Genomic DNA, 17951 nt, shown 5'->3' on the forward strand with positions numbered 1-17951 from the left:
AAGTTTTCTTCAGAAGAGACTTGTATTCCAGCATGGCAATAAGAGACTGAAGGTGGGGAAGCTCAGTCTCCAGTGACGCCGTTCTTCCAAGGTGGCGTGTTCTTGCCGTGTGCAGGCCTCGCTGGAGGTTGGGATCACAGTGCATATGCCATCATGTATATTTTCCATTTCATGTATCCCACGTGTTTTTCATGTTGTTAGAAATTGCTCATAATTTATGGTCTATTTTGAAAATGAAGTCTTTAAAAAGAAGGCAGCTCTGTTTCCAGAAACTACTGTCCAAAACATTCAAGAAGATAACCCCCATCACACCCCCTGCTGTGCCCTGTGATGGGCCGGCTTCCCCTCTCACCCGGATGCTGGTGTTGGTGTCTGTGCTGGGGTTCGGGGGTCGCTGGTGACCAGCTCCAGCCTGCCTGTGTACTGTGATGGGCCGGCTTCCCCTCTCACCCGGATGCTGGTGTTGGTGTCTGTGCTGGGGTTCGGGAGGCGCTGGTGACCAGCTCCAGCCCACTCTCCACCTGCAGCACCCTCTCTTTTCTTATGTAGAAACGGGATCACCGTTCTCAGTCAGCACCCTCTCCTTTCTTACATAGAAACAGGACCACTGTTCTCAGTCACTGCCATTTCCTTTGGTCCCTTGAGTTTGATGGAAGACATGTGGCTCCCTTGACAGGCCTCTCCCATTCTTCGTGGGACAGCCTGTGGGTCAGCGGCTGTGAAAGCCAAAGCAGATTGGGACATGGTGGCACCCTTTCTGTCATCCCCCTGGTCCAGGCCGGTGTGCAGGGCTTGACAGAGCCACCCGGCAGGACCCTGGGGGAGAGCACAGTGGCTGTGGAAGCACTGTTAGGTATGCGGGAAGAGCGCACATGCAAGGTTCCAGCTGTGTTCATCCCTGAGAGCGGGTTTCACAGGCTCACTGCCTCACGGTGGCTGTCCCTCCCCAGGGCCGGAAGCAGGCCATCCAGGCAGGTGCGGGAGGGCCACACAGCCATTCTTCATGCTCTTCACCTCTGTGTAATGCACATGTGAATTCTAGTGACGTAGTTTCAACTACGTACATTTCAAGAAAATGTACTGTTGTGTGTTTCATTTGTGTGATTTCATACCAAAAACTGAACTACATTGTATGTAATTTGGAAGCCATGTTAATAAAACCTTGCAGTTTCCACTCTGGTTCCGTAACGCAAACGGGGGGCCTTCCACAAGCAGGGTGGCCTGCAGTGGGCAGACGGTGGCTGCTTTCAAAGATACATTTTATCACCCTGTTTTCCCCGTTCTCGTAAGGATGAAAAGGAAAGTGCCTTAGTTTGGACCTAAGTAAGGAAGAAAGAAAGCAAGAGAAGAGGCAAATTTGGGAAATTGAAATGGAGGAGGAAGCAACAGGTAACAAAAGCGAAATGTGTTGGGTGAATTTCTCAAATCCGATTTAATTGAATTTTTAAGCCTAAGTCATAATCTGAAAATGCCATGTGATTAGAGCCCAAAGCAGTTTTCTTCCTCTTTAATCCATAGTTCAAGAATAAGTCATTCCTTGTTTTTAAAACCTGTACTTTGGGTAATGGGATCTCTACAGAACATGGGCAAAAAACGCCTTGACATTTCAGGGAGAAAATGGGGCTTTCTTTGAATTAAGGGTACACTCAAGAGTGGTAGATCCTTTGAAGAAGGTATTGTTATTTCCCATAGTTGCCCCCTGAGCAGTGCCTGGCATGCTGGAGGTCTTGGTGTGTATTTATTTAGTGCAACCAATTACGTGAGGCAGTGTATTTGTGGCAGGCCCAGGGGTGTCCCCGTCCCAGACACAGGAGGTTTGGAAGTGGTTCAGGTGTGTGGCACTGATCATTCCTGTTGAAACATGGCCGCTGAGTCCTGAAATCTCACCCTTGGTTTCTGCCTGTGTCACCGGGAGTGCAGTGGTGCAATCACAGCTCAATGTAGCCCTGATTTCCTGCGCTCAGCTGATCCTCCCACCTCAGCTTCCCCAGTGGCTGGGACCACAGGTGTGCACCACCATGCTCAGCTAATTTTTAATATTTTTAGTAGAGACAGGGTTTCACCATGTTGTCCAGTTTGGTCTTGAACTCCTGGCCCCAAATGATCTGCCTGTCTTCGCCACCCAAAGTGCTTGGATTACAGGTGTGAGCCACCGTGTGCGGCCAGGTCCTTTTCTTATTCGAACATGTATTTGCATGTTTTGAAAGAGTGACAGTCACGTCTGAAGGGAAAAGTAAGTGATAAAAGAGTTCTGTAGGAAACACACAGTACTGACAATTGGTGGCTCTAGGAACAGAAGCACAGAGCCATGTGTTGTACACCTTGAGGTGCAGCTCGTTGCTGTGTGCTTAAAAGAAATGAGAAGCACGGCAGTTTTGAAGCTTCACGCTCAAAAAGGAAGCTTTCTTGCTGACCTTTGGTGTTGCCTGCAGGCCGCAGCGAGAGGGCAGAGGTCCTTGCGGCTCTTCTCTAGGGTCCGACGTAGATCCAGACAGGAAAGTCAGTGGGGCATTCTGGACATGTCGTCGCACCAGGCTGCAGAGCTGGACACTGAGGAAACCCCTCCAGAAAGAAAGCCCTACCTCCCGACCCACTGCAGGTGACTAGAGGACTGGGCAGATGCCCTTCAGACCAGACGGAGAGGAGCACTTCTCTGATTCCAAGTAACAACAGCTGCTGTTGAGGAGGTGTAATGAAAACCGCACCTAAGCTCTTCACCCAGCTTCGAAAGCTAGCCTGGATGTTTTCAATCTCAGACGCTAGTCGTGTTTTTTCTCTAAAATTGACAATGGAGAGAATTTTTTCTCACCATCAAGGGAGAGCATCTGTGGATGGTGTCTGAAGAATGATACCATGTTTTGTTCTCCTTATTTTTTTGGAGACAGGGTCTTTCTTTCTCTGTCACCCAGGCTGGAATGCAGTGGTGCATTCCTGACTCACTGCAGACTTGACCTCCTGGGCTCAAGAGAACCTCCCCTCTCAGCCTCCCGAGTAGCTAGGATTACAGGCGTGCACCACCACACCTGGCTAATTTTTGTATTTTTTGTAGAGATGGGGTTTCACCACATTGCCCAGGCTGGTCTTGAACTCCTGAGCTCAAGCGATCCGCCTGCCTTGGCCTCCCAAAGGGCTGGGATGACAGGCGTGTGCCTTCCAGTGCTGCTCCTGGCTTCGGCTTCTTCCCTGGCCCTTACATTGCCAATGTGCACCTCAGTCACCAAAGGCAGGCTTCGCCTCAGCTTCCCAGGATGGCCGTGCCCCTGAGATGATGGCACCAGCCTTGCCAGGGAGCCTCTGATGACAGCCGTTCAGATGATGTCATGTGAAGCTTCCTGAAATTTTCTCTCCCATTAGTCTTTAATCAAGGGAAAACACTTATTTAACAAAATTAATAGATTAAAATCCCAGTCCTTAGAAAAAAAAATCAGTGAAATAGACAAACCGCTAGCTAATTAAGAAAAAAGAATGTACAAATAAAAAGAAACACAAGAATTGCTATTGATAAAAAGGACTTTTTTAAAATTGTAGAACGTAACATCAAATTATGTAAAACATGTAGCATCAAAATTATACATCAATATATATGATTTTAACTGTCAGTGTCCAGTTCTGTTTTATTACATATGTTCACACTGCTGTACAGCTGTCCCAACCATCCATCTCCAGAACCTTTTCCTCTTACAGAACTGACACTCTGTCCCCATGAAACACAAACTCCCATCCCCTTCCTGAGCCCCCAGCACCCCCCGCCCCCACTCCACTTTCTGCCTCTGAATTTGACGACAATAAGTGCCTCATGTGGTTGGGATCCTATGGTGCTTATCCTTTTGTGACTGGCCTGGTTCACTTGGCACGATGTCCTCAAGGTCCATCATGTGACAGCCTGTGTCAGGATTCCCTTCCTTTTCAAGGCTGAGTCATATTCCATTATAAACACACAGTGCATTTGTTACCCATTCATCCATCAGTGGACACGGGATGCTTGACGATGACGAATGCTGTTACGAACATGAGTGTGCACACGTCTTTTTAAGAGCCTGCTTCCAATTCTTCTGTGTCTGTATGGGGGCGTGGAAATGCTGGGTCGCATGGCAGTTCTATGTTTAATTTTTGAGAAACTGTCATCCTCTTTTCCACCGCAGCCACAACATTTGACATCCCCACCAACAGTGCTCAAGGGTTTCTTCCATTTCGCCACATCTTCACCAACATGTGCTATTTTATGTTTCTTTGTTTTTGTGTGTGTCATAGCCACCCTAATGAGTGTGAGGGGGTGTCTCATTGTGATTTGGAGTTACATTTCCCTAATGGTTAGTGAGGTTGAACATCTTCTCATATGCTTGTGGGTCATTTGTTTATCTTCTGTGGAGAAACACCTATTCAAGTTCGTTGCCCATAAAAGGGATTTTGTAAGCAATAAAAGACTACTTTGTAGATCTTTTTGCAGATAATTTAAAAACCTATGTGATATGGACAATTTCTTAGGATAAACAGTGTATCAGTATCAACTGCTGTGGAGATCTAAAGCTCATACCAGTCAATCTCTACAGAAAAAAATAAAATGATCAAAAAACTAGGCATGCAGAAAGGCCCACATGTTACAGAGGAATTCTACTAAATGTTTGGAGACCAGATATAACTTATGCTGCATAAATTGTTCCAAAGCATTTAAAATGAGAAAATTTCCACATCCTTTTAATGAAGCAAATATATCGTTTATATCTATACCTGGAAGAGATAGCACAGAAAAGATGACCAACCGATAATGTTTATGAATATTGATGCAAAAAAATCCTAAATAAAATACTGGTGAACCAAATACTACATTAAGAAACACAAGGCCGCGCGCGGTGGTTCACGTCTGTAATCCCAGCACTTTGAGAGGCTGAGGCAGGCGCATCACTTGAGGTCAGGAGTTTGAGACCAGCTTATCCAATGTGGAGAAACCCTGTCTCTGCTAAAAAAAAAAAAAAAAAATAAGAAGAAAATTTTTTTAAAAATTAGCCGGGTGTGGTGGCAGGCACCTGTAATCCCAGCTACTGGGAAGGCTGAGGTGGGAGGATCGCTTGAGCTGGGGAGGCGGAGGTTGCAGTGAGCAGAGATCCTGTCACGTCACTCCAGCTTGGGCAACAGTGAGTCCCTGCCTCAAAAAAGGGAAAAAAAAAAGTTTTATGAAGACACGAAAGCAATTCGCAGTGAATTCCTTGTCTTGAAGCCCCCATTTGTGGAGGGATATTACATTGCCTGAGGACCCCAGGCAGCCTCCCTGACGGCCACGCATTGGGGCTGCATCAGGCATTTCAGGACGTGGGCGATTGTCCAGTTAACGTTTTGTTTTGTTTTGTTTTTTGCGGAACGTATGTCGTCAGGCGGTCCTTCTGTCCCTGCCCCAAGGTAAGCCCCGAGGCGTCCCGGGCCTGCGCCCCCAGCGTCCCCGCACCAGCGCCGCGCGACCTGCCGCTGGCTGCGTCCGAGCAAGGGGTCCGGGCCCGCCTGGCTGCCCCGAGGGTCCCAGGAGGCAGCGCAGGGACAGCCCCCGCCTGAGCCCGCGGCTAAAGGAGGCCGGGCCGCCGCGCACCCCCGCACCCCTTCCCCGGACCGCGAGGCTCCGCGCGCGCATCTCTGCCGGGAGCTCCCGACCACGGCCCAGCGCAAGGGACCTCCGGGCCGCCCCTGTCTCGGGCCCTGCCGCGCCGCCCGCCCGCTGCAGGCCAGGACTGCGCTCTGTCTGCCCACGGCCCCCGCCTGGCACACACGCTGGGGACCTTTCCTCAGTGCTGCCTCGACATCCGAAGGGGCTGGGACGCCCGTCCCTGGTGGGAGCGAGCACCGGGGCGGGTGAGGGGTGCGCCGCGGGAGGCTCTCCTGCCCCGCGGAGGAGGGTCAGAGAGAAAGAGGGAGGGACTCTCCCTGTGTCCCTCCCTCTTTCTCTCTGACCCTCCTGTCTCTCTTCCCTCTTCTCCCCACTTCGCTCCCCCACAGCAGCCCCACCTATTCCCGGACACGCCCAGAAACCCACGGAGAGCTGTCCCCTGGGCCTGCCCTCTCCTCTCTGGCCCTTTGAGGATTACAATTTGTTAAGAAAGAACGGATTAGCAACTAGTGTTTTTAAACAGTGAGTTTTCACACATTCCAGTTTCATGTGAAAAGTTTGCCTTATGCTCCTGATAGCCAGGATATTGAAGCCACCTGGGTCTCTGTTTCCCCCACCCTCGGGCCTGGACCGTCAATGCCGGCTCCGCTCACACCATCTGTGTCCACGCAGAGGGTCGGGCCGTGGGAGCCGCGAGTGTCTGGCCCACACTTCTGTTCTTAACCTCGCAATGTATTCAGGTTTCCCCAGGCGGAGCGCTCAGCATATCGACAGCTAAAAATCCAACCAAGGCCGGGCGCGGTGGTTCACGCCTGTAATCCCAGCGCTTTGGGAGGCTGAGGAGGGCGGATCACAAGGTCAGGAGATCGAGACCATCCTGGCTAACACGGTGAAACCCCGTCTCTACTAAAAATACAAAAAAAAAAAAAAAAAAATCAGCCGGGCGCGGTGGCGGGCGCCTGTGGTCCCAGCTACTCCGGAGGCTGAGGCAGGAGGATGGCGTGAACCCGGGAGGCGGAGCTTGCAGTGAGCCGAGATCGCACCACTGCACTCCAGCCTGGGAGACAGAGCGAGACTCCATCTCAAAAAAAAAAAAAAAAAAAAAAAAAAATCCAACCAAAACCACACCCAGCGAAGTAACAAAGCGACAATCGGCCTTGGTCCTGCGAGGGCAGGGAGGGCAGGGAGGGCAGGGAGGGCAGGGAGGGCAGGGAGGGCAGGGTCCACTGCCCAGCCGGGGATGCAAGGACGGCCATGGGGCTCCAGCACAGGGACCGGGCCCCGCGGGCTTTGAGTGACGCGGTAGGCCAGGACGAGCCCCATCCACACTTGGACAATGAGCAACCGCAGCCGGCCGCGCAGCCTGGGGGCCGTCTCCCTCTCCAGCCCCCGTGTCCTCTGGTCCACGACTGGCTCTTGCCCTCATTCCGTTGGGGCTGAGTCACAGCCAGGGAAAGGGCTGAGGCAGAGCAACGCTGGGTGAACCCCGTCTTCCTGAGGCCACGTTTGCACCGGGAAGAGAACACAGTGAACCCCCTGAGCACCAACACGCTCCCACACCCCCCACGAGCAGCCCAGCCCTGGGGAGGAGCCCGTCCTTCTCCCTGCTTGCCACACCGGCCACGTCCGTAACCCTGCCCAGCATCCCACCCAGGTTGTGTGGGTCCCCACGTGGTCACCAGCGTCCTTTCAGGACAAGAGAAAACTGAGCAGGACCAGGGCTTCCGCCTGCCGCATTCATCTGCCCCCCTTCGGCTGTGCCAGGTGCCTTCCCATGTGGCCTCTTGCTCCTCGGCATCCCTGGGGGAGGGAAAGGCAAGTGTCTCCCTGTTTCATGCAGCCGCGCAGGCCTAAACGCAGCCTCTCCTGTTCCAACAGGCCTTTCTGGGGCCTGTCCTGCTTGCCTTGCGGCAGCCAAGGGATATAATGGGTGCCGGCCAGCCTCCCCTCCCATGACCCCGAGGAAGTCCCTCCAGCCCCTCCCTGAGTCTGCTCCTGGCAGAATCCCTCTGTAAGTGGATGCGGGGTCCAGAGATGCCACCGGCTGGGCCAGACCCCATGAGGAGAAGCTGTGCCGGAGCCTGCAGGACTGGGTCCAGGTCAGGGCTCTCACACCCGCTGGGCGGCCTTTGCTTCCCGGTGCTGGCTGTGCCCAGACGCCTGGGCTTGTGCGTGTTTAACCCGCCCAGAGACTGGTGCTGCCGCATTTGTTCATCGGTTTGTTTTGTTTTGTTTTGTTTTGTTTTGTTTTGTTTTTGTGATGGAGTCTGGCTCCGTTGCCCAGGCTGGAGTGCAGTGGCGTAACCTCAGCTCACTGCCAGCTCCGCCTCCCGGGTTCACAGCATTCTCCTGCCTCAGCTGCCCGAGTAGCTGGACTACAGGCGCCTGCCACCACGCCTGGCTAATGTTTTTGTATTTTTAGTAGAGACGGGGTTTCACCATGTTCGCCAGCATGGTCTCGATCTCCTGACCTTGTGATCCGCCCGCCTCGGCATCCCAAAGTGCAGGGATGACAGGCGTGAGCCACCGCCCTCGGCGTCCCATCGGTTTCTTATTCACTCATTCATGAGCTTGATATTTACTGAATGCCACTGTGTGGCGTTTCTACGGTGATGGACACAGGGGGTCTTCTGCGGTGATGGACACAGTGCTGCGCGGCAGCGGACGGCACAGTCCAGCCTTGTCTGCGTGAAGCATGCAGTTCTGGTGGCAAAGAGCTGGCTCCATGGCAGGGCTAAAAAACGCCAAGGACACCAGCACCTGGCCTTTGTGTGTCCCGAGCCGGCAGAGCTGCCCTGGCTTGCCCGGGACATCGCGGGTCCTGCAGCAGATCTGGGACCCGGGGCTCCAGCCCCATGGAGCCATCTTGGGAAAAAGTACACTTTTTCCATGGATGAGAATATTTGAGAAAGGCCTTTTGGGGCACCAGTGATGAGCTTGGCGTGAAGGCAAACCTCATGGCTTCATGGCCAGCCCACCTAGTCCTTTTTTCACCCCACAGTCCACAAGATCCTTCTCTGAATGGCTCTGATTACTTAAAAAGTGAACATCGCCATCAAAGGTTGAAGACTTACTATCGTTTCAGATATTCCTCAAAAACAAAAACAAAAACAAAAACAAAAAAACAAAAAACCTACACCATTGGCTTTGGAAGCAATAGCAAAAGCAGAGGCCCCAAATCTCTCAAATGTGCACCCAGCCAGCTCCCTGGTGGCTGTTCCAGGATGTTCTCGTGACCAGGTAAAAACCAGCATGGATTTAGAGAGGAAAGGAGAAACAAAACAAATCATTTCTTAAACATTTTTAAATTAAAATATTTTATTTTTGCTTACAAAGAGCTAAGTTGTCATTGAGACAAATTTGGAAAATATAGAGGAGGAAAGGGCGAAAACAAAGTCACTTGTAATTGCGTTGCCCAGAGAGTAGGTTCTTGCACACACACACACACGTGCACGTGCGCGCACACACACACACACACCCAAGTGGACCAGGGTGTACACTGCGTTATGGAACCAGCTCTTGTCACCACGTAATGTATGGTAAATATTTGCTGAGGAGGTTAAATATTCTTCCCCAGTGTCACCTCACATAACTGAGTAGCAATCCCTTAAGTGGATGTGCCTTAATTTCCTTAATCCATTCCCCAGTGATGGTAATTTAGGCTGCTGCCCAATTTGTTCTACTATAAATACCACTGTTGAAAACATACTAGTGGCTATGTCATGTGCAAATCCATAATCATTTCCTTGGTATAAATTCTAATTAATTAAAATTACTGAGTCAGTGAATACACACAAATGCAAAGGCTTTGGTAACTTATGGCCAAATTTTTAAAAAGATACATTGACTTCTGCCCCCATGGGAACCCCAGGTTAGGAGAACGAGCATCTCCCGAGGCATGGCAACTCTAAATACGGTCCTGTCCTGAGAACTCCCTCCCCCTCTTCTTCCTCCCAGCATTCATCCCCCCGGAACTGCGGGGCTGGCCCTGAACTCTGTGTCTGTCACGTAGAATGTAAAGACCTGGAAAGAAGAGGTGGGCATTGTCCTTTGCGAGAAAGACTGAGCGCAAAGGTGGAAGCCGGAATGGGCCCCCAAAAGGGAGGGTGTTTGGGAAGAATGACAGCCTCTGGGCAGCGTCCCCCACTCTCGCTTCGTCGGGACGGTGCAAGGAACCATGCAGACCGTGAGCGCCAAAGAAGAACATTTCCTGGCTCCTTCCCCTTAGCTGCGCAGTGTGGAAAACCACTGACCTTCTCAAAGTTAGGTTTCCTTGTCTGTGATCTGAGCAGACCCGCCAGCACCATCCGGAGGTCAAAGGCGAAGGCGGGCTCAGAACCACTGTTACTTTCATCAGTGATAGGATGAGCGGAGAGGCAGAACAACTGGAAGGAAAGACAGAACCCACCCGCTTAGTGTTTCATGTCAAGAATCTGTCTTCCCCCACCCACACACGAGATCCTGTGAAATTTCAGGGAAGAGAGTTGGAATTCTTTAAGATCTTCCTTAGCCCCTGGAATAGGGCCAGCTTGAATCAAAAGTTTCTTCACAGATAGGCTCCACCATGACTGAGCCACGGAAGAAGATGGGCGGCTCTCTCTCCCTCTCTCCATAATCCCACCCTCTCTCCATAATCCCTCCCTCTCTCCGTAATCCCCCCTCTCCATAATCCCCCCTCTCCCATAATCCCCTCTCTCCATAATCCCTCCCCCTCTCGGTAATCCCTCCCTCTCTCTGTAATCCCTCCCTCTCTCTATAATCCCTCCCCCTCTCCGTAATCCCCCTCTCCATAATCCCTCCCTCTCTCCGTAATGCCCCCTCTCTCCGTAATTCCCCCTCTCTCCGTAATCCCCCTCTCCGTAATCCCCCTCTCGGTAATCCCTCCCTCTCTCTATAATCCCTCCCTCTCTCCGTAATTCCCCCTCTATCAGTAATCCCCCTCTCCGTAATCCCCCCTCTCGGTAATCCCTCCCTCTCTCTGTAATCCCTCCCTCTCTCTATAATCCCTCCCTCTCTCTGTAATCCCCCTCTCCATAATCCCTCCTCCGTAATGCCCCCTCTCTCCGTAATCCCTCCCTCTTTCCATAATCCTTCCCTCTCTTCTTGGCCCTGCTCTCCGTCTCTCTGTGGCCCCACTCTCTCTCTCCCTCTCTCTCCCTGTGGCCTCTCTCTCTCTCTCTCCCCCCTCCCCCCGTGGCCCCACTCCCTCTCTCTTCTTGGCCTCTCTCTCTGTCTCCCTCTGTGGCCCCACTCTCATTCTCTCCATGATCCCCCTTCTCTTCATGGCCCGTGTCCTCCAACACCGTTCGTTCACCCAAGCTCCCCGGCTCTGCCTCTTGCCCTGGGGAAGGAGTGTCCACACCCAGTCCACAAGTTCCTGTGCCCTACTCGCCCCACGGGCCCTGTCCCAGGAGCCCTCCCATCTTCTCAGAGAGGGATTTGGTGTTTAAGATGTGCATTAGATGTTCTCCTCCCCTAGGCTAGAAGATTTCTATTCCAAGCTATCGCTGTCCTGCTCAGTGCTTTGGATGCCCCTGAATTGAGGTGTGGTCGGGAACGCAATTCCAACTCCGGGTGAGGCTGGCCCTGAAAACAATACCCAGCACTTCTCCCCCCGTGCCTCATCCTCTGCCCCTCTGTGCCTCTCTCTCATGCACTCGTGCACAGGATGCACACTCACAGACACACATATGCACACTCACATTCACACACACTCATACGCACACACAAATGCACATCCACACACACACAAAAGCACATCCACACACACATGCACATCCACACACATCTAGACACACGTGCACATTCACACACGTATTCACACACGTACACTTGCACATTCACACATACACACATGCACATTCACACACAAATTCACATTCACACACATGCACATTTACACACTATAGACACATTCACACACAATTCACACACACGCACATTCACACACGTGCACATTCACACATTCACACACATATTGACACACTTGTACATTCACACACGTGCACATTCACTCACACATTCACACACGCACATTCACACGCAGGTGCACATTCACACACACTCATACACACATTCACACACATATGCACATTCACACATTCATACAGACACATGCACACTCAGACACACATACACACCCCATTCACACATACTCATACACCGACATATACATTCACACACTCATATACACCATTCACACGCACACTCAGACACACACACACATGCACTTCACATGCCCACACACATGCATTCACACACACGTGCATGCACACACAGACACACATATGCAAACACAGACACTCAAACTCGCACTCATACATGGACACATTCACACACTCATACACAGCCATCCCCTTGGACACCCCAGTGGCTCTGGTGGCAGCCAGCTGATCTGTGTCTCTGCGGCACGGACAGAGAGTGGCCAGAGCCCAGTCTCTCTTGGGAGGCCCCAGGGACCCACCTGCTCCTTGGTGGAGGCCAAGGTCACAGGCTGCAGGAGGGGCAGGAGGACCAGCAGTGAAAGCCCACCCCAGAGGCTGGTAGGGCTGGGCAGTGAGACACAATGTGACAGGGAGAGCCACTGGGTGTGCCCAGCCAGGGCCCGGGGCAGGTGTGGGAGGTAGGTAGGCCTGCCCTGGTCTAGCAGGTCCCACTGGAGGAAGCTCCCCTGGGCTGCTCAAGACAATGAAAGCCTCCACCCTCTGTCTGGCACACTTGCAGACAGAAGTATTTTTAAACTCATTTCCCTGACCTAAAAAGGGTCTTTTTTGACTGAACACCTAGTCTTTGAGGACTGACACCAGCACTCTGCCTATAAATAGCTTCGCTCGCCTGCTGGGAGGGTCGCCATGGCTGCTGTGGTGGTCAGGGACAGCTTGGGCCTCTGCAGGTGTCTGGGGACCTAAGGCCACCTCCTGCCCTGCCTGTGGCCCCAGCGTGGGAGATCACATGGAGTTATTTTAAATTACAGAACTGGGAAGAGGTGCCAGGGTTGGGGCATGTTGTCAGCTGGCATTCTGTCGACCATGCCCGGGCAGGTGGCTGAGACCTCCCCATCTCACAGCTGCCTCCTTGCCCTCGCCCTGGTTGGTGTTCACCAAGGCTGCCTGGGCACCTCAGCCTGGGGATGTGACGGGCGGTGGGAGAGAGAGGGGCTCAGGAGGGGGGTGGGGGCAGGACCAGAGACCCACAGTGGCCTATGATGCCTTGGATGGGATCCTACGTCTGTGCATTTTAAAATTAGTTCATCGTCTTGTGCTCTGGAAGTGTGTTCCTTACATTGAACTAGGAAAATATAGCAAATAGAACAAATCTGCCTGTATTTTTTTAAGTTACTGAAATCCGGCTGGGCACGGTGGCTCACACTTGTAATCCCAACACTTTGGGAGGCCGAGGTGGGTGGATCATCTGAGGTCAGGAGTTCGGGACCAGCCTGGCCAACATGGCGAAACCCCGTCTCTACTAAAAATACAAAAATTAGCTGGGCATGGTGGCAGGTGCCTGTAATCTCAGTTATTTGGGAGGCTGAAGCAGGAGAATTGTTTGAACCTGGGAGACAGAGGTTGCAGTGAGCTGAGATCGTGCCACTGCACTCCAGCCTGGGCAACAGAGTGAGACTCCATCTCAAACAAAAAAATAAAAATATAAATATAAATAAATAAAGTTACTGAAACCCCACCACGTGTTGGTGTGCTGCCTAATTCCAGCCAATGCTTCATCTTAGCAACAGCTGAGATCTCTGCGGGCTGCATATGATCTGTCTCTGCCTTGGACCGTTTTGATGCCTTGCCTGGGAGCTTTGTACATTCATTTATCTTTTTCCACAGTTGTAATAATTGCCTGATGATTGAAAGCTCTTTTTTTTTCCTTTTTCGTTTTTTTTTTTTTTTTTTTTTTTTTTTTGGCTGAGGTCAGTTCTCTGGGCAGCGTTCCTCCAATCCACCTCGTGGAAGTCCTGGGTACATCTCAGCCACTTCTCTTTCCTTCTCTTTTCTCTTCTCCTGGGGTCTTTCCCTCATGTATGCTCACAGCCCTCCCAGTGGAGCAAGGAAACTTCCAGTGTCTAGAACAGAGAGGGAGCTGCGACCAGAGGAGAGGTTGGCAGGGTTGGCACATTCGCTGAGGGGTCTTGGGAGGGGTGCCTGTGGCTCACCTGCCCTGGAAGGGTGGGCTGCGCCTCTGCCCCACTCTGCCTGGCTGGCCGGGTGTTCAGGGCAGGTGCTCCCCAGGGAGGGGCATCCAGGGCTGGGGCTCCCTCAGTACTCCCTTCTTTCATTCTTGATGTGGCCCTGGACACAGAGCAGGGACTCTAAAATTGCTCCCACAACCCACTAGTGGGTCCTGAAATCAATTAGTCGCCGGCTTGAATAAAGAGACGATACTGCGGTGTAGGGTAAATATTCTTGGCAAACTCTGGCTTTGGTGTGACACACGTGTGTAGGTGCTGCGGTGAGGGTGTACTCCCGGGTGTGTGTGGCCCGTCATCCCACACGGTTACTGCACACTCAGCCTGACACGGTTTCTGTACATGTTATAAGGAATCTTCCAGTAGGTTTTTATTTCTGAAACTTTTTTTGTGACAAAGGAGAAAAAGCTGAAAGAGGTGGTTTTTCAGATCCAACCTCAAGGCAGGGCATCCCTGGGGCAGCTGGTCACCACCCAGAGAATGGGGCCTTCTGTGGCGCTGGGGAGGGTCTCCTATCCCAGGACGGCCAGCCTTGGCCCGGCCCCTGGGTCCTCCTGATGCTGGCCTTGCGTTGCCGCCTGCCTGGGCTGGGACCCGGGCTCTAAGCACTTGCTAGTGATGGGGCAGCCTTTGTGTTTCACCAACCTGGATTCCAGAAGAGTGTTCCTTAGGGTCAGCAGAAACGCTCCATCTCTTCACCTGGGTTCTCATATGTCCTAGAACGCTTTCCACCCAGGATTTGACTACGAGAGGACACCACCAGTCCCTGTTTCAGAGCGAACACTGTTTCTATCCATGCACCTCTGTCCAGGGCTCGGCGCCCCTCGGCCTGGCTGTCCCATCCCCTCCTCCGCGCTCCCTGGCCTTCACCGCCTAGCACACCTGTTTATTCAGCCTGAGACCTGCTTCTGGAGCTAGAGAAGATGGGCTGGAGGGAAGGGGCTGCTGCAGTGGGTGGGTGGCCCCGGCCAAGTCTGTGCCGCTCCCTGCTCCCCGCGAGACCTTGCGCCCCCTCCGAGACCCGCTCTTCCATCTGCACAGAGGGAGTCGTGGTGACAGGACGAGGTTTCCCGTGGAACCCTCGGGACAGCTCTGGACGCTCGGGACTCGGTCGCTTTCAGGGTCAGATGTCAGAGGTGGCCTTTGCCCTCTGCCCTCAGCCAATACTTTTCCTGATTTCCAGATTTTTCAGTTTCTTTCCTCTCTTGTGCTGACGGCCGGCACCATCCCCTCACTCTCCCACGCCCCTGCCTCTGTTTTTGGCTGAGGCCTCCTGCGGGTCCCGGACTCAGGGCGGCCTCTCCGGGCCGGCCCCAGCCCCCCGAGGCTGAACTGACCCCTCTGGAGAGGAAGGCGCGTGACCCCCTGGTGCTCACCTCGCCGCCCCTCCTTGACGCTCCCGTGGGTGGAGGTGGCCTGTAGTCACCCGCCCTCGGTTTGAAGGGACTCTGACGCTTGAATCCTTAAGGGCTCACCTGGGCTGTCGGACCGCCGGCTACGGCCCCGCGGCGTTTCCCCGAGGCGACCACCAGAGGGCGCGCGGACTCCACCAGGGCAGCGCGGGGACGGCTCCCTCCAGCCACCGCTCTCTCCAGCCCCGGGCCCCAACTCCAAGGCTCCCTCCAGCCCCGGGACCCCGGCTCCCCCCAGCCCCCGACCCGGCTCCCCCCGGCCCCAGGCCCCAAGTCCACGGCTCCCTCCAGCCCTGGGACCCCAGCTCCCTCCAGCCCCGGGCCCCAAGTCCACGGCTCCCTCAGCCCCAGGCCCCAAGTCCACGGCTCCCTCCATCCCCGGGCCCCAAGTGTCGGCTCCTTCCAGCCCCGGGACCCCGGCTCCCTCCAGCCCCGGGACACTTCTGGAGAAGCAGCCAGGAGCTGGTCCAATGGCAGGTGCCACCTGCACCCAGCACCCTGCAATTCTGGGGAGAGCATGGAGGTGCAGGGAGAGGAGAGAGCCCGGACGTGGGTAGGTAAACTCCCCAAACGTCCACCCTGTGCTGCCAGTGCCTTTTACATGCAGAGGCTGTGGAGGCTGAAAGACCACCGGAGCCCTGGCTTGACCAGGGCTGGAGAGGAGGAGAGCACCGGCCTGCATCCCTCGGAAGCCGAGTTGGAACTGCAGAAGGAGCCTCCTGCTGCAGTCTGCTGGTGTTCGGTGCAGATCCAAACTGTGGATGGGCTCCTGGGCACACCCAGGGGTGGGTGGCTGCTTCTCTCGCGGGTGGTGCCCGGCGCTCTGCAGCTTGGCCCTGGGGGAACCAGGCCCAGGATAGTGCCCCAGCCGGAATCTTTGGAAGGTAGGAACCTGGACACTGGGCCGAGGCTCACTCCACTCTCCGAGGCCCCAGGCACAGGAGGGAAGATTGCGCCGTCCCCTGCCACTCACAGAGCAGTAAGAAGAACAGCTGCCATTAGAATGGCGCGCCGTGGAGTAAACACGGGCAGGCTCAACCGTGCCTTGGCTTCCTGGGCTGCGCGGAGGCTCTCATCCTCTTTCTGAAATGGCAGGGACCACATTGTCCTCTCCACAGCCCCATTCCTCTGCGGAGGCTCCTGCCCAGTGGGGCCTGCCTGCTAGGTGGGCCGCCTGGGCCATGAGAGCCGCAGAGTTCTGGCCAGAGGCCTTCAGCTGGGATTCTGAGACCTAAGCCATGGAGTGAACAGACGCTCAGGGGGTGGGGGCCTTGACGCTCCTCGCAGAGGCAGTGGGTTTGTTTTGCTGGCTTTAGGTTGCAGGGTTCTGAGGCAAATCCTTACGCTAACCTCAGATCTGGAGGAAGGAACTTTCCTTCCACTTCCCCTGGAAGCAAAGGCTTGGGCCCTGACCTGGGATGGGGGATTCCATCCAGGAATCAATTCTGTGTGGGGGAGAGTTTTTTCCTTTGATTCCTGGCATACTCTCTCTTCTACTATATCTTCAGTTTTCTGATGTTTCAACCCTCTTGTTTCAACCTCTTTGCCCCATCTGAAAACACAGCTGCCCTCATCTTGAAAACCAAAGGTAGCCGTTAAAATGCACCCTCCATACCCACTCTCATGCCTCCCTGCATGAGGACCCAGCGCTTGTTTATAGAGTGAAGTGTGAATTACAAATGTTTTGGTCTTAATTTGAGAAAATTAAGCTCAGCCAAAAAAAGAAAAGAAAGTCATCTCCAAATCCAGACTTCCTGTTTTCTAACTATGGGGTGATCTGCACAGATGAGAGAGTAACACGGTGCGGCTTCTGCTAACTGCTCTGGGGACTCCACGGGCTGTGTCTGGACCCCGCCTCTCCTGCACAGGGTGTGCCTGGCAGTTTAGCTCACACCTGATCAGCATCGAAGGGTGCTGTTGCTCTACCAGGCAGACGTGGCTGCCTCCGGGGTCTTCCTGGACTTGTTAACCTCCCGAGGCCCCTACGGCTCTCAGGGAGAAGCAGGAGTGAGTGGGCAATTCTAATTGAATTCTAATTGAGAAATATGCTGCGATGGTAGACAGGGCACTGTGTTCCAGCTCCTGCCCTCAGCCCCCAGCCCCTACCGCCAAGCTTGATTTCAATCCAAAATCCTAGAAAGAGGGTTGGCAGACTTGGGCAGAGAGCCAGAGAGTAAATACCAGGCTGTGCGGGCCAGGTGGTTTCTGTGGCTTTCCTCTGGGCTAGTGGAGAGGCTACTCCAGACAACACGTGAGTGAGTGTGGGTGTGTTTCAATAAAACTTTATGTATGGACACTGAAATTTGAGTTTCACAGAATTGTCACATGTCAGAGAATAGCAGTCTTCTTTAGATTTTTTGTTTTTAAACATTTTAAGAATGTAAACACAGTCTCAGCTCAGGGACTGTGTGAAAACAGCCCTCGGACCAGATTTGTCCCAGAGGCCAAAATTTGCCCAGCTCTGTCCTGGAACATAAATCCCAGGGAGTGCCCGGAAACGGCAGGGCTCACGAAGGGTTTTGTGACTCGTTTGTAAGAAGTCATACGGAAGTCGCTTCCTGGGCTTCTCAGCCTCCTAGAGTGGATCACCATCCGGAAGGACGGAGCGCGTGCGCCGAGGAAGAGCTGGTTCCCTGCAGGCCCGCCCGCCTCCCTGGCAGGCACTCTGCTGCTTTCTTGCCAAATCTTGTAACTGACCGGTATTCCCTGCATGTCTGCCCCATATTTCCCACGTGGGTGCGATGCTGACAGCTCTGTC

The 17951-nt window shown here is 53.5% G+C and overlaps 4 annotated features.

Moving 5' to 3' along the window:
- Positions 179–714: an enhancer, noted in NCBI's record as "H3K4me1 hESC enhancer chr7:155574696-155575231 (GRCh37/hg19 assembly coordinates)". NCBI's record gives its function as "activates a minimal SCP1, AML or CMV promoter by ChIP-STARR-seq in naive H9 embryonic stem cells {active_cell/tissue: H9 hESC(naive)}" and the evidence as "EXISTENCE:reporter gene assay evidence [ECO:0000049][PMID:30033119]".
- Positions 715–1249: an enhancer, noted in NCBI's record as "H3K4me1 hESC enhancer chr7:155575232-155575766 (GRCh37/hg19 assembly coordinates)". NCBI's record gives its function as "activates a minimal SCP1, AML or CMV promoter by ChIP-STARR-seq in naive H9 embryonic stem cells {active_cell/tissue: H9 hESC(naive)}" and the evidence as "EXISTENCE:reporter gene assay evidence [ECO:0000049][PMID:30033119]".
- Positions 4338–4538: a silencer, noted in NCBI's record as "peak6863 fragment used in MPRA reporter construct". NCBI's record gives its function as "represses an SCP1 promoter by STARR-seq MPRAs in K562 erythroleukemia cells {active_cell/tissue: K562}" and the evidence as "EXISTENCE:reporter gene assay evidence [ECO:0000049][PMID:32103011]".
- Positions 17098–17177: an enhancer, noted in NCBI's record as "active region_26903". NCBI's record gives its function as "activates an Ori minimal core promoter by ATAC-STARR-seq in GM12878 lymphoblastoid cells {active_cell/tissue: GM12878}" and the evidence as "EXISTENCE:reporter gene assay evidence [ECO:0000049][PMID:35858748]".

Source organism: Homo sapiens, chromosome 7 (assembly GCF_000001405.40).
Source record: "Homo sapiens chromosome 7, GRCh38.p14 Primary Assembly".
NCBI classification, from domain to species: domain Eukaryota; kingdom Metazoa; phylum Chordata; class Mammalia; order Primates; family Hominidae; genus Homo; species Homo sapiens.